The sequence below is a fragment of the Homo sapiens genome, chromosome 5, assembly GCF_000001405.40.
Source record: "Homo sapiens chromosome 5, GRCh38.p14 Primary Assembly".
Lineage (NCBI taxonomy): Eukaryota > Metazoa > Chordata > Mammalia > Primates > Hominidae > Homo > Homo sapiens.
In genome coordinates, this window is record NC_000005.10 from 162,648,704 (window position 1) to 162,664,915 (window position 16,212).

The 16,212-nt window shown below is 34.3% G+C and overlaps 1 long non-coding RNA gene across 1 annotated transcript in view; it reads right to left on the reverse strand.

Annotated features, from left to right (window-relative positions):
• Positions 1-12,228, reverse strand: part of LOC105377698 (uncharacterized) — a 37,591-nt gene extending 25,363 nt beyond the window's left edge. The window contains exons 1-2 of the long non-coding RNA XR_001742958.1: positions 11,935-12,228; positions 11,399-11,522 (exon numbers count right to left, since the gene is read on the reverse strand). This is a non-coding gene — a long non-coding RNA (uncharacterized LOC105377698). The remainder of the gene's footprint in view (positions 1-11,398; positions 11,523-11,934) is intronic.
• Positions 12,229-16,212: the final 3,984 nt, after the last annotated feature.

The window sequence follows — 16,212 nt, forward strand, 5'->3', positions numbered from 1 at the left end:
AAATGACTCCAAAAGACTTGTTTGACACAGGGTTGCCACAAACCATCAATTTCTATAAAGCACAATATATTTGAAGCACAAGAAAAAAGCGCAATAAAGCAAAGTATGTCTGCAAGCACGTTAAACTTCTATTAAACATGTATTAAAATTTGATAAATGATATAAAAATGTGGTTGTATCCAACTTTGATTTTATTGTAGAAACTTGTATTAATATAGTCTAGTAACTATAGCCAAATCTTGACAATATTTTTGTTTAACATTTTCTCTTGTCTCTGAATAATTTAAAACACCTTGTAATATGGGAACAGGAAGTTGCAGTCCTCAGAAAGGGTAGATACCAAGCATTTAAAACAAATGTAGATAATATCATTTGCAGAAACTGAATAAAAATATACCTAACAAGAGTGAAATTACTCATCATATGGAAGCTATTCACAACAAAGAAATAATTTGTAACTATGTTATTGATAAGACTTCTGTGGGTTTTCAACATAGAACATCATTTAAAAATATTTATAATTGAAGAAATGACAATATTTAGAAAATTATAATATTTCTGGTGGGATGAGTTATGACAGTCATTTTTTAATGGCTTAGTAAAACAAAGATGATAAGATATTATGTAGAAATTGACAGTCAATAAGAGACTATGTTATTTGAGTCTAATAAGTGTAATATTCATCATCTAGACAGAAATGACCTCTAAATATTGGAAAAGAAAGAATCAAATTCTTGCAGCTTGTGACATTATTTCTTTATGCTGCCACTAACTCCCTTTACTCACCAAAAACTTTCTCTTTAGTGCTTGATTTCTTGAGTTGTCCTGCCCATATTGAGTATTGTCCTTGGTTTATAAGTAATTTTTTTCAAATATCAGTATCCTGACAAATATTAAGTTAATAGCTGATTATTAATTATTCTAGATTATTAATTAATGTTCTGTGAATTATTATTCTGTGAATTAATGTTCTGTGAATTACAATTGATCTTATTATGATTGACTGTGGATACAACTGAGTATTGTAAGCACTTCCCACAGCACCTGGGACATTACAGGTGCTCAGTAAATTTGTATTATTATATTAGAAAACAGGAATGACCAATACTCAATGAAAACTTGTTGTTGACTAACATCTCATTAGTATGTAATAGAAGTGTACTTTTCAGTGTCTTTGAAATATATTGGAAAAATGCAGGGCAAAATGCTAGTGCTTGTTAGTAATCATAGTAACAAAAGTTATTCCTGCTGCATTCTACATGTTTATTAATTAGGTTTACTGTCCCAAGTGCAGGAGACTCAGTAGATATTAAGTCAAACACAGTTCTTGCCCCATGGAGTTTAGCTGAAAATTAGCAATCAGCACTCAACAAATGTAAATGTAATATGTGCTGCAAATTGTGCTGTGAAACTATATGATAAAGAATTTAACTTAATGTGAGGATAATATGAGTATGTCCAGACTTAAAGGATGAGCCTAATGCGGCCAGGCTAACAGTGGTAGAATGTTTTTTTTTCCAGACAAAGACAATAACATATGCTAAGTTTACAGGGTAGGAAGAAGTTTGACACATGGGATATGAGGTCAGTGTAGTTCATGAGGAGGAGGAACCACCGGAGAAGACTCAGAATGTGTAGCAAGGGAAAAAAGGAAATCCAGGAAAGTGGGTTATCACTGAGGTTATTAAATATATGCAACATTTGGGAAATACCTATATTGAAAATTAGTCATAGCTTCTCTGGTAAGCAAATGTAACTGAGCACCTTGTATTATTTATTTGCTAAATCTGGCAACCCTAGTTATCAGGTAAGTCAAGAGTAGAAAGTGTCAAGGAGGAAATCACCACAATTACAAGTAGTATTTGTGGGGCATTGTGCCAAGAGCTTGGCATGGATTGTGTAGTTTCATATCCCTGCCTTTGGCCTTTCTAATTCACACAGCTGGATCTACTAATGGTCTGATTTGAAGCTCTTGGATGTCCTCATTTGATAATGTTGAACCAGATGAAAAGTGTCAAAGTAATCCCAACTCCATTAGCCCTTGTGTATCGGAATAAAATTGAGCTTTATACAAGCCCTGAAATCTGCGGAGTGCTGAGGGCATGGGGCAGAATAGGCTAGACACTTTCAATATCTCTCTCTATCCCTCTCACAATCCACCCTTATTGACCTACTATCTTTGTGTGATTCCTACTTTGCAGACAGCAGAATATTATTTGAGAAACATAATGTCCTTCTAAGACTAAGTGTCTGTCCTCAAGCTAGTGCTAGTTTTTTGTTGTTGCTGTTTTTGTTTTGTTTTGCTGAATAATATGGTCTTCTCAGATCCTCTTAACTTCCAGAATCCCAAATAATAATTTGCTGCCACCATCATAATCATAATTATTATAATATTTAACATTTGCTGAGTTCTTATTAAATATCAGACACTCTACCAACAGCTTTATATAAATGGTCTCATTAAATTTCTCAACAGTTCAATAATGTTGATATCATCTATTTTTTATATATGTAAAGAAACTGACATCCATATCAAGCCACTTGCCATGATGAGATAACTGAGATTCCCCAAGAGTTACTTATTCAAGTTAAAAGTGAAGTCTATTAATTTTTCACAGAAATAGAAAGAAAAACCTCAAAATTTATATGGAACCACAAAAGACCCCAAATAGCCAAAGCAATCCTAAGCAAAAAGAACAGAGCTGAAAGCATCACTTTGTCTAACTTCAAATTATATTGCAAAGCTATAGTAACCAAAACAGTATGGTATTGGTATAAAAGCAGACACATAGACCAATGGAACCGAATAGAGAACCCAGAAATAAAACTGCACATTTATAGTCAACTCATTTTTGACAAAGCTGTCAAGAGCATACTTTGGTGAAAGGACAGTCTCTTCAATAAATGGTGCTGAGGAAACTGGTTATCCACAGGCAGAAGAATGAAATTAAACCCCATGCCTCAACATATAGAAAAAGTCAAATAAAAATGGATCGAATATTTAAATTTAATATTTGAAACTATCAAACTACTGGAAGAAAATATTAACGAAATGCTCTAAGACATTGATTTGAGCAAAGATTTCTTAAGACCCCAAAAGCACAGGCAACAAAATAAAAATGGACAAATGAGATCACATCAAGCTAAAAAGCTTCCGCACAGCAAAGAAAACAATAACAAAATGAAAAGATAACCCACAGAATGAGAAAAAATATTTGCAAACTGACCCTCTGACAAGTGATTAATAACCAGAACATATAAGAAGTTCGATCAACTCAATAGCAAAATATATCTGATTTAAAAATGGGCAAAAGATCTGAATAGACATTTTTCAAAAGAAGACATACAAATGGCCAACATGTATACGAAAACATGCTCAACATGGCTAATCATCAGAGAAATTCAAATCAAAATTGCAGTGAGACATCAGTTAAAATGGCTTTCACAAAAAAGGCAATAACAAATGCTGGTAAGGAGACACAGAAAGAAGAAACTTTGTACACTTTGGTGGGAATATAAATTACTACATCCACTATGAAGAACAGTTTGGAGGTCCCTCAAAAAACTAACAATAGAACTAACATATGATCCAGCAATTCCACTATTGTCTGTGTACCCACCCCCCCTCAGAAAAAAGGAATTCACTATATTGAAGAAATATCTGCACTTCCACGTTTATTGCAGCACTATTCACAATAGCCAGGATATGGAAGTGTCCATCAACAGATGAATGAATAAAGAAAACGTGGTGTATATATAGACAATGGCATATTATTCAGCAATTAAAAAATAAAATCCCACCATATATAACAACATGGATGGAACTGGAAGTTGTATTTCATGAAATAAGCTAGGCACAGAATGACAAATACTGCATGTCTCATTCATATGTGGGAGCTAAAATGTTAATCTCATGGAGGTAGAGAGTAGAATAATGGTTCCCAGAGGCTGGGAAGGATGGTGGGTCAGGGGGATTAAATATGGGCTGGTTAATGGGTACAAAAATACAGTTAGATAAAAGAAATAAGATATAATGTTCAGTAGCACAATAAGGCAACTATAGTTAACAATAATGTTATATATTTTAATATAACTAAATGTAATTGGAATGTTCCTAATGAGTAAATAATAAATGCTTAAGGTGATGGACTTCCTTATTATTCTGATTTGATCATTAAACACTATGTGCTTGTATTAAAATATTGCATACATCCCCTAAATATGTACAATTATGAATCCATAAAAATTAAAAATTGCTGGGTGCCAGCCGGGCGTGGTGGCTCACGCCTGTAATCCCAGCACTTTGAGAGGCTGAGGCGGACAGATCACGAGGTCAGGAGATGGAGAACATCCTGGCTAACACAGTGAAACCCCGTCTCTACTAAAAATACAAAAAATTTGCTGGGCATGGTGGCAGGTGCCTGTAACCCCAGCTACTCGGGAGGGTGAGGCAGGAGAATGGCTTGAATCTGGGAGGCGGAGCTTGCAGTGAGCCGAAATCCTGCCACTGCACTCCGGCCTGGACAACAGAGCAAGACTCCGCCTCAAAAAAAAAAAAAAATTAAAAATTAAAATGCAATTAGAAAAGTGAATTCACTTGACCAAGACCACTCTGTTAGTAAGTTGTGGGTTCAAATTTTAATTTGCATTTGACTGTCAGCTAAGCCAAGTCTCTTAATAAATACTCTATGCTTATTCTCTACCTCTCTCACATTTTTCCCCATCAACAGGCACAATTTTCTCATCATTTTCAAAGCCTGGTTCTAGTCTGTTTACTTGACCATTTGCCCAAATGTCTCTTTAAGAAACAGAAGCCTGTATCTTCTCAACAGGGTGGTTTTTGTGGATGAGTGTTCCTTTTCACCATGCCATTTTTGCATGCCTTCTACTCAAATCAGCTCTCATTACCTCAAACTTAGTAGATCTATTGTGGCTTTAAAATATCCACATATAATTGGGGTTGAGGGTGCTCCTTAACATATCTCCAACTGTATGTGGAATTGGGGGAAATATTATTTGTGTATTTGGATTAAGATTGTGAATATATTAAAATGTTTGTTTTTTAACATTGGAATTTTTAAAATTTAAATCTTCAATGTAATACAGCAGCTCTTTTTATCTCTATAAATATGTCATTAACTCTAAGTGTAGGCTTTGCTTCACTAAACCTTCTCATTTTTTATGACATTAGTACCTCAGTTTCTGTTTCAGTCAGTTTATCAGATCAATAAAATAAAAAAAAAATTACTGAAAAAACTATTTGAATTGGCAGATCAAACGTCCTGTAAGACTTAAGGGAGATTCTGTAGGCTCTAGGCAATCATTTGAGGAAGCTAAATCTTTACTGGCTTTAGAAAGATGCAAAAATTGCTTAACATTCTCGAATATCAGTTGAAGGGCATAACATTTGTTGTAGAATAAACAAAAAAGATAATCCTAAAAATAAAACATCTATCATTGGCCAGCCAAGGGCTTAAGATCAAATTTTTTTTTTCCAGCAAGACATTTCTAGAAAAAGCAAGAAACAGTTTACTATGCATGATTTTGGGATAGAAGTAAAACTTTAACATAGAATACGCATTTACTCTTAATGTGTTACTAGCTTTAGGAAAAAAAAAAAAACTAAAAAGCTGATAAATGGAATATTTTCCTGTTATAATTGTTTTAAAAAGGTAAGTTCAACATAATGACAAGCTGTCAATTTGGTAAATTAAGATGACGGAAACCTGTGGTGTGCTACTGAAATTAATCTGAGAAGCTCCAGAAATGTTGATGTTTTAGGGTAACAAAACTTTGTCCTATTAAACTTTGTATTATGTAGGACACTTTAACTGCAAGAACAGAAACTCAACCCAAGCATACTTTATGTTAAAAGCAAATGTTTTGGCTCATGTCACTGAAATGCCTATAGCTTAGGATGTGATTGTGCCTAGAGGGCCAAACAATATCTTACATGCTGGCAGTTTTCTCACCATCTTTAATCTCTGTATTCCTCCCTATTGGATTTACTCTCTATTAGGCCTTTGCTATGCTACCCTTACAAGCTTCCAGCTCCAATTTTACTTAAAAGAGAGATTCCATTCTCCCAACAGTGTTGGAAAAGTTTCTGGAATTGAGGTCATTGTCCCTAATTGGGTAATAAGTCAAACTCTGAACCAATAGTTTTGGCCAAGGAGATACAATTATCAGATTGGTAGGCAGGCTTAGAACCAGGGGTTCATTCAACTCTTATCAAACCAGCTGGACTTAGGGGAAGAGAGGAACCCATGGAAACTGGGATGCTGTTGCTAGATGAAGCAAGAACTGATGCTGGAGAGACAAAGCCACAAATGTTCACTATAAGCATCAATCATTTCTCATTCTCCTTTCTCTCGTTTCCTTCCTCTGAATAAAACAAATACTGAAACACCTCTGTTTCTTTTTTCTCTGTATTTACACTTCAATATAGCCTTCACAACTAACAATGGTTCCTTAAATGAGTCATAATGTTTCCATCCTCAGAGTCTTTGTACATGCCAGTTCCCACTGCCTGAAATGTCTGTCTCTCCCTTATTCACTTGGAGTGCTCTTCTGTCTCTTGTTACTACATGGCCAATTCCATTGATGTTCAGTTTAAATGTCAGTTCCTCAAAGAAGACTTGGAGTATAGATTCAGAAACTGTGATTTATCTATTGTGCTCTTAGATTAAAAACCAAATGAAAGCCTTTGTCCCTTTACACATGAGAAAGCATTTGTGTCACTGAAAACCAGAAGTAGAGAGCTAATGAATCTGCTGTATTGCATGACTGTAATCTAAGAACAGACATATACTGAAAATGTAGACAGACAGAGGAGAATACAATCTGAAAAGAGTGAATTATTATGGCTAGAGGGCAATAAATAGAAAAGTTTATTGAAGAGTGAAAAGTTAGAAAGGTCGTAATTCTACAGTGGGTATAGTCTGTATGTATTTTACAGTGTTCTGTGGCTGCATTGGGCCAAATATAAGCTGATGTGTGAAAATTAAAAAAATAAAAACCCAATAGCAATAAAGTCATAAAATCAAAAGTGACTACATAATTGAAAAAATTCAAACAACATTCTGATGACTATTTCTAAAATACCCCTTGTTCAGCTTTGAGAATTGAAAAATAAATAAAACCACAGAGCATACAAAAATATACTTAGAATGAATAAGATCTAGTATTTGATGGCACAACTGAATAATTACAGTCAACAGTAATCTATTATCCATTTTAAAATAACTAAAAAACTATTATTGGAATGTTTGTAACACAAAGAAATTATAAATGCTTGAGATGATAGATACTCCATTTACCTTGATGTGATTATTACACATTGCATGTCTCTATCAAAATATCTCATGTACCCTATAAATATATACATCTACTATCTACCCATAAAAGTTAAAAATTAAAAACAAAACAGAGGAAAAATTTTAAAAAGAATAAAGGCATTTTCCAGGTTATTTTTGTATTACTTTTCAAATCTGTACTTTTGGCTAAGTTCTAAAATTTTAAGTTAACATAATGTTCAGTAAACTTAATGATGTAAAACCCCATTTTCTTTATTTTTGCATTTTTTAGACCAAAGTTCTTTGAATAAAATAAAGGGAACTCTCTTCTTATGATCTGGGATGCTCTCTTCTCTCTGTCCTTGCTTAGCTAACTTCTCCTTAACAAGATGTCAGCTCAAATGCCATTTCTTCAAAGAAATGTTTACCCTGAGTAATTAATAAAAATCCAGCTGCAATGCTCTTACAGCTTTTTGCATTTTTTCCTCACTTATCACATATTTTTACTTGGAGGCTATTTGATTTTTGTCTGCGCTCCCTCCCAGGCTGCAAGTTCCATGAGGGCAGTGTCCATGTCTGTTTTGTTTCTCCACAGTATGTCCAAAATTAAGCCTAGTTCCGAAGAAGGCACTCAATAAATATGTGTGGAATGAGTAAATGTTATTCATCCTCAAGACTCAGCACAAGTACCTGCAGCTCCAGGTAGCCATCCCTGATACCACTGCCTGTAGATGTCCTCCCTTCATCTTTGTCTCAGAGGCCTCTGTATATACCACTGTCCTAGCACCCACCACATTGTACTGCATCCATCATTATCACCCTCCCTCACTTCCTAGAGGGTACCTGACACAGTACCTAAAATACAAAAGGTACTGGAGTAGAGATTCTGTAATGAATGAATGTATAAGTGAAGAAAATAATTAATATGCCCTACTTTCGCCAGTCTCCTTATGCAGAGGCACACGCAGTGTTATAACCTGGCTGAGGAACCAAGAAGTCCCTAAGGAAATACCTCTGAGATACATTCTTCAATTGGAAAAGTTACTACCCAGAGACAAAAGATGCAGTCATAAAGACCTCATCTTTTAAAGATTTTTTTTTTAAAGGTAAGCTTTTAGAATCCTCACTATCTTACAAAGTGAGAAAATATTTTTAGTGACTTGATTCTAAAGTTCGGCAGTGTGACAATATAACAGTGTCGTTAACTACACTTTCCATCATGTGAATGAAGACTAAATAGTTGACACATTCCTCGTGAGGCACTGTGATTCCAGGATGATTCAGCTGCTCTTCACATAGTACATTAAGTGTGAGTGATTCACACCACCTGAGGAGCAGTGTGACTCCTCTTAAAAAATGCTAATAGAAAATCCAAATCACTTCCTCCAGGTCCCTCTCAAATGAAAGAAATGAAGTTATGTTTTTGACTACTAAACTCCCTTTTTATTTGGGATTTGAAAGAGGCTCAAATGCCTTTGTGTATAAGAGAAATTTCATGATTAATAAAATGTGCTTTTGTTGGCAGCTAAGAAATTATACCGGCATTGTGTATGTGTGCATGTGTATGAATAATTGGTTAATATGTCAATTTCATATATAGATATATGTTTTAGATATACTATCCACACATGAATATTATATACATGTATAATATACATCTGTTCTTTCAATAATTGTGTACTGAGCACCAACCATGTACCAGCCAATGCTCTAGGCCCTAGGAGCGGACTATTGAACATAGCATAGAGTTCTTATCCCCATGGAGTTAACATTCTAAGAAGGAATGACATAATAAACAAATAAATAAAACATTCTAATAAATTTTCAGGGATTGAACAGGATAATATGATAACTAGGAAGGAGAATCACTTCTGATATTCCATTTGTATATATACACATATCTGTAATAGGTAAAATGTACAAAACATCTCAATGGAAATCTAGCATATTTTTTAAAAAACACAACAGTGTAATAACTTTATTTTTAAGAAATGTAAATAAGAGCTCTTTTACATTTTCACATTTAAGCAGTCAAATACTTTCATTTACTCTGTGTATTAAAAAAATCAGATGATTTCCAAATTCGGATTTTTCCAAACCTGCAGAATGCTAAAGATAAGATTACTACTGATATGTTTTAAGGTGGCATTCCTAAATATAGCTCTGAGAAGCATCATCTGAGATGCCTTCGAAAATTCCAGATTCTGGTTGACCATATTCAGATCTACATAGTCATGACTTTGTGGATGGGACCTGCAAATATTAAGTATTTTAAAATCTCCCAAGATGATTTAGATAACTGACCAGGTTTAAGATCTATTCATCTAAGATGTTCAGAATGGGCATGCAAAGATTCAGAGCAGTGTTTTCGAGATCCAGGTAAGTAAACTGTCACCGAGTGATATGGTTTGGCTCTGTGTCCCCACCCAAATCTCATCCTGAATTATAATCCCCACATGTCAGTGGAGGGAGCAGGTGGGAGGTGACTGGATCATGGGGGCGGTTTCCCCCATGCTTTTCTTGTGATAGTAAGTAAGTTCTCATGAGAGATGAAGGTTTTAAAGTGTGGCACTTCCTCATTCTCTCACACCTCCCTCCTGCCACCTTGTGAAGAAGGTGCCTGCTTCCCGTTTGCCTTCTGGCATGATTGTAAGTTTCCTGAGGGCTCCTAGCCACGCTCCCTGTTAAGCCTCCAGAACTGTGAGTCAAAGAAACCTCTTTCCTTTATAAGTACCCAGCCTCCAGTAGTATTCTTAATATCAGTGTGAGAACAGACTAATACACACGTCTTGATAAAAATGCAGATTACTGATCCCAGCCTAGGGATCCTGATTCACCAGATCTAGAGAGCTGTTTGTCTAGCTTTTGTAAAACTCCCTCGAGTATTCTAACGCACAACTACATTTTTGGAAATCATTGTTTTGAAAAAAATATGTCAGACAGAAAAATTGCCTGTAGGTACAAATATGGTAATTCTTTCCACAAACGTGGGGCAGACTACCAACAAATTTTCAAACAGCTTCTTTTTATAAAAAATGCTACAGAGTATGCCAACTCCTAATGTAGCTTCATAAGAAAATGCTTTTTTGGAAGAAACGTGAATAGATGTTTACAATGGCTGAGAGAAATGTATATTTCGCTAGCTAGTTTCCAGGAGCATCTACTGGTTATTGCATGTAAATGAGAACAAAAGCTATAATTTATGCATGCATGAGGAGATTTCAGAATTGCTCTGACGTTATTCCTTAAGAGAGTTGTTGGGCATGAAGACCATAATGATGAAGTCGACGTTTATCCAGACATGAAACTTAGTGTGCTTTATTTCCTCATGTTTGTTTTCCTTTTACTTGGAGAATATAACTCTGTCTTAACCCTTTTCTAGTCATCCCTTGATCCCTACCGAGTTATTATCCCTCTCAACGAATGACTTACACTAGTTGAAACAAAAATTTCTCATCTTGAGCTGAAAACTATGGGAGAGGAAGTGGTTGGAATGGGATGTACGGCTGTTGGTTCAAGTAAAAAAAATAAAGGGAAAATGTGCAGATGGGCAGGAAGGCATGGTTTCCTCAGAGCACCTCAATGTGGAGCAATGATGTCTAGGTGGGAATGCATATCATAATGGCATATTATGAACAACACAAGAGCTTTGAAACACCTCAGAAATCAGTCTCAAAAGAGGGCAAGTGTGTGGAAAATATTTGGTGAAAGAGAAGGGAAGAAATAGATAAATTATTGTATGGCCTATGATTACTGAAAAGTAAATACCTTACAAATCTACTGTAATTTAAACTATCTTGCACTGAGTAAGAGAATTGACCTACAGCTCAACAGAAGAAAATATAATTTCTAGAAAAAGAACTGATTATATATGCAAATTTAAAAAGCATTTAAATTAAACAATATAGATTGGTGGAATAATCATAAATCAAGTAATGAAAACAGTAATAATCAATAAGCTGTTGCTATTTTTAAATATATTATCAAATATAATAAAATGAGATTTTAGCCTTTTGGAGTTGAGCTTAAAGAACAACTTGGAAGCTGTATGTCCTTATCCCATTCTGTCATCTCGGCTTTGAGATGGCATATCCTGAACTCACCAAATAGTTCATATCTTTAGGAGCATTGCCCTTCAATTACCATATCAAGCTTCTTTCTACAAAGTTCCACTCTGGAAAGTCAAGTCTCTATTCTCAGAAGCTTGTGAGTTTCCTTGATACAGAACTAAAGAAGAGAAAAAGATAAAATAACACAGTCGTTTTTAGAAGGAAAGTGTCCGCATTTATCTCAGGTTGATAGTTATTAATATAATACATCTCAGATTATAAATACATCATAATGTTGGTAAAGAGAGAGTTTTTAATTTAATGCCATTAATTATGAAAAAAACATTCCATAGACATTACCTAAAAATATAGCATGTCAGTATAGTCTCATCAACAATACCATCTTTGTTTTTACTTTGCTAAGATGACAGATGTCATTGTATGTTTTTGTCATGCACATGATTTAAAATATACAATATATACATTCATTATATACACAGCATTTTATATATATATACACACACACACACACAAACACGTATACACAAATTGTGAAATGGTTAAATCTAGCTAATTAAGAAATGCATTACCTCTAGTTATCCTTTTATAAAAAATAGTTATTATTTCTGTGGTAAGAACACATAACAAATATCCACTTTCTTTTTTATGAATAGAATATATCACCCTTAACTATAGTCAACTTGCTGCACAATAGATCTCTTGAAATTTTCCTCTATCTTATTAGGTATCCTTTGACCAACAACATCTTCCCATCTCTCTATCTCTGCCAACCACCTCTGCCACTGGTAACTACCATTATACTCTCTACCTTCTATAATATAAAATTTTTAAGATTCCAGTTACGAGTGAGATCATGAGGTACTTGTCTTTCTGTGCCTGGCTTATTTTATTTGACATAATGTCTTCCAGGTTCATTCATGTGGTTGCAAATTACAGGATTCTTTTCCTTTTATGACTCAATAGTATTTCATTCTGTATATACACAACACAGTTTCCTTATTCATTCACCTATCAATGGAAATTAGGTTGATTCTATGTCTTGGCTATTGTGAATAGTGCTTTAATAAACATGATAGTACAGGTATGTCTTGAAAATGCTGAATTCCTTTTTTAAATATATACTCAGTAGAGAAATTGCTGAATAATATGTTAGTTCTATTTTTAACTTTTGAAAAATTCCATACTATTTTTCATAGTAGTTGTACTAATTTATGTTTTCTCTGATAGTGTGTAAGGGTTCCCCTTTCTCCACATCCATGCCAATATCTGTTATCTTTGTATTTGATAATAGACTTTCTAACTAGGGAGAGATGATATCTCATTGTGGTTTTGATTTACATTTCCTTGATGTTTAGTGATGTTGAGTAATTTTTTATATACTTGTTGACAATTTCTATGTCTTTTTTTGATAAATTTCTACTTAGATCTTTTGCTTATTTTTAAATTATGTTATTTTATTTTTTGCTGTTGAGTTGTTTGAGTTCCTTATCTATTTTGGATATTAACCGCTTATCAAATGTATAGTTTACAAATATTTTCTCTCATTCTGTAGGTTGTCACTTATTCTTTAACAACACTGTCTTTAGGTATTTGTATTTACACTGAGTACAAACTGAAATTGATGTTGTTTGGCTAAATAGTAGAAATTATTTCTCATATCCAAGAATGCTTGCTGAGAATCAGTTCTCACAGATAATTTTGCAAAATGACAAGACTATAATGATTCTAAGTAAAATAGCATTAAATGACTCTGAAGCATCCACTGTTTCCAGTTTTGAACTGAAACGAAGCCAACAGAAACAAACAAGTTTATTACAGGCTTCTGCCAAATGAATAGCAAAAAATAATCCATTGCAAAAAACGAAAAGCCCCCATTATTTTTGCTCATGTCCCTTACAGTGTGCCATCAATGTATAACAAAACTAAAGCCTGATGCATTTAGAAATAATATTTTTATTTTAACACTTACCCAGGCACCTATACACATCTTTTTACATATGTAAACAGACTAAAAGTTAATATTTATCATAATTTGCTATTTTTTGGCACATGTAATTATAACAAGGCTTTTTATATAATTCATATTATTACTTGATATTTAAAATGCATGCTCTGTGGTTTGTTGCAGGACACTGCTGTACATAATTAGCACTTATTTTAAAAATATTCAACCAGAACTTTTTTTAAAAAGGTTATTACTAAATGACAATACAACTATTTTTTTTCAGTGGCTTGTAACAAAACAGAACGTATTTACAATTTGACAATGCATTATTTTGAAAACTATCCTTTCTAAGGTCTAATTTCTCCAGATTTAATAAACTTTTTCTGGTGAAATTTTTCTTCACAAATCAACATCGAACACATCATTCAAATATAATTTCAATCTATTGTCATGTTCTATTTAATCTAATCAGTTTTCCAAATATTAAGGTTGAATATACTAATCACATCATCCTATGTGATAGATCCAACAAGTAAAGAAATCTTACTGGAAACTTTCTTATACATGCAAAAGTATCAGGCCTTCCATTAATTTATTTTAAACACTTTTCAAATTCTACCTTATTTGATTTCCCCCCCACTCCTTCAAGGCTCCCAAAAGTCTCAGAATGAAAAATGAAAAGCTACAACATTAACTTATATACACATTAGCTCTTACCATCTATATTAGGGGCATTGTTTCATCTGTTTTAGCAGGTGTAGAATGGACTGAAAGTTAATTGGAAAAGTATTTCAGAACAAAAAGTGGCAGTACAAGGTCAAACAGTTTTTGGAGACATAATGTTTCATACTTTTTATTGGAAAAAATGCTCAATTGAAGAAAAATTTTCTAGTTTTTAAAAAACAGTAGGGAAAGATTTGTCTATGTAAAACCTGGCTATGATACGTGAAGAAAATAAAAAAAAAAAACTTTCTTCAGATCCACTTTACTTAGCAGGTTAAGAAGCATTTGTCACTATAGCCTTCAAAAGCCCTTTACGTGAGCTTGGTCTATTTTTTCTAAGTGTCCTCCATAACATTTTTTGTTTCTAGACCAGGGACTGCTCTCTCCACCTTCCAAAATCCTGGACATCTATTGACATTATGTCTAAAACCCTTCTCTTTTCAGTTACCTTCCACGGCTACCTGTCTGAATATTATACATGTTACTGACCCTTAGAACTTAATCTGCATGTATTACCACTATGTATATTTTTGTTCTACCTAGTCATCAATATTGTAACTTTTTGAGGCCACAGATATATCTGATTCATCTTTGTAGCTTCTAGAACACGGTTATATGCACAAAATTAACATGCTGACTTGAATGGATTTGAATAATTATGGCCCATTAAATCTATGGAAAGAGCATCAACTTTTGGTTAAAAAGCTCCTGATGTCCAACATCTAGGTCTAATCCAAATACATGGGTACCTGCAGTCATAAACCAAGCTCCCTCTTGAAAACAATGTTTTCAGTTATTATGATAAAATCAAATGTTGGAGTGTTTCAAGCCATTGTCAAAATGTCATTCAATCAGATGAAAGTAGAATCAACAAGGAAAAAATAGATGGAGGAAATAAAATATATCTAAAGTTTATGAAATTGTTTTGAAGTGATCTTTAAAATTATAATGTACTATAAAAATAATCTATGAAACACTAGGCAACTATCATACAAATAGTTCCTTTTCTGGCACAATACTGATGGTGGTTAATATTTCTTTGGTATTTGCTATCTGACAAATATGTGCTAAGCACATTAGATTTATTATTTCATTTGTTATACAGTGGTCCCAAATTACTATGTATCACTGATTCATAATAATCCTGTAGCTTATTGTGAGCATGACCATTTTAAAGATGAGGAAACTGAGTGTGACAACATAATTGTGTACTCACTGTATATGCCTCTCCACACTTCCCATTGCACCTGACTGAAGCTGAGGTTATGTGACTAGCCCTGGACAATTGACTATGTGTGGAATTAATAGGTATTACTCGATGTACAGTATATAGCATGAGTTTGAGGTTGCTAAATTCTTTATTCCCCGGGAATGAGACTTTGAGATGATGATGATGATGTCAAAATATTTAAGTAGGCCTGGCGCGGTGGCTCATGCCTGTAATCCCAGCACTTTGGGAGGCCAAGGCGGGCGGATCACGAGATCAGGCGATCAGGACCATCCTGGCTAACACAGTGAAACCCTGTCTCTACTAAAAATACAAAAAATTAGCCGGGCGTGGTGGTGGGCACCTGTAGTCCTAGCTACCCAGGAGGCTGAGGCAGGAGGCGAAGCTTGCAGTGAGCCGAGATGGCACCACTACACTTTAGCCTGGGCGACAGAGCGAGACTCCGTCTCAAAAAAATAAAAATAAATAAAAAAAATTAAAGCATTCTGGCCTGCTTGGTAGTCAAATGTGTTCAGATTTCAAATGTGGCATGGTCTCTGATCTGCAGATTGAATGAGCAAGAAATATATCTTTGCTGTGTTAAGCCACTGGCATTTGGGACCTACGTTGTTACCACAGTATGACATAACCTACTCTAGCAAGTGTTCTAGGGCTTCAAATTTTATTTTCGATTTTGAAAAGAAGTTTAGTAACGTTAAAAGAAGTTTATTTTATGCCAGCACTTACAGTCTTTCACAGTATGTTTCTTATAGAAAAGCAAGTCCAAGTGGTTTCTCTGGAATATAATTGCCTACGTCATACGTGTAGCATCAACAAAACATCACTGGCTTTCTTTGTTGGGACTAGTGAATGGTATCTAAGAAAGTTCATTCTGTGGAGATCGGAGATGAGAGAAGCAATTGCTTCCTGAGGTGGTACTTTATCCTAATCAAATCCTCTCTCTGGGAAATA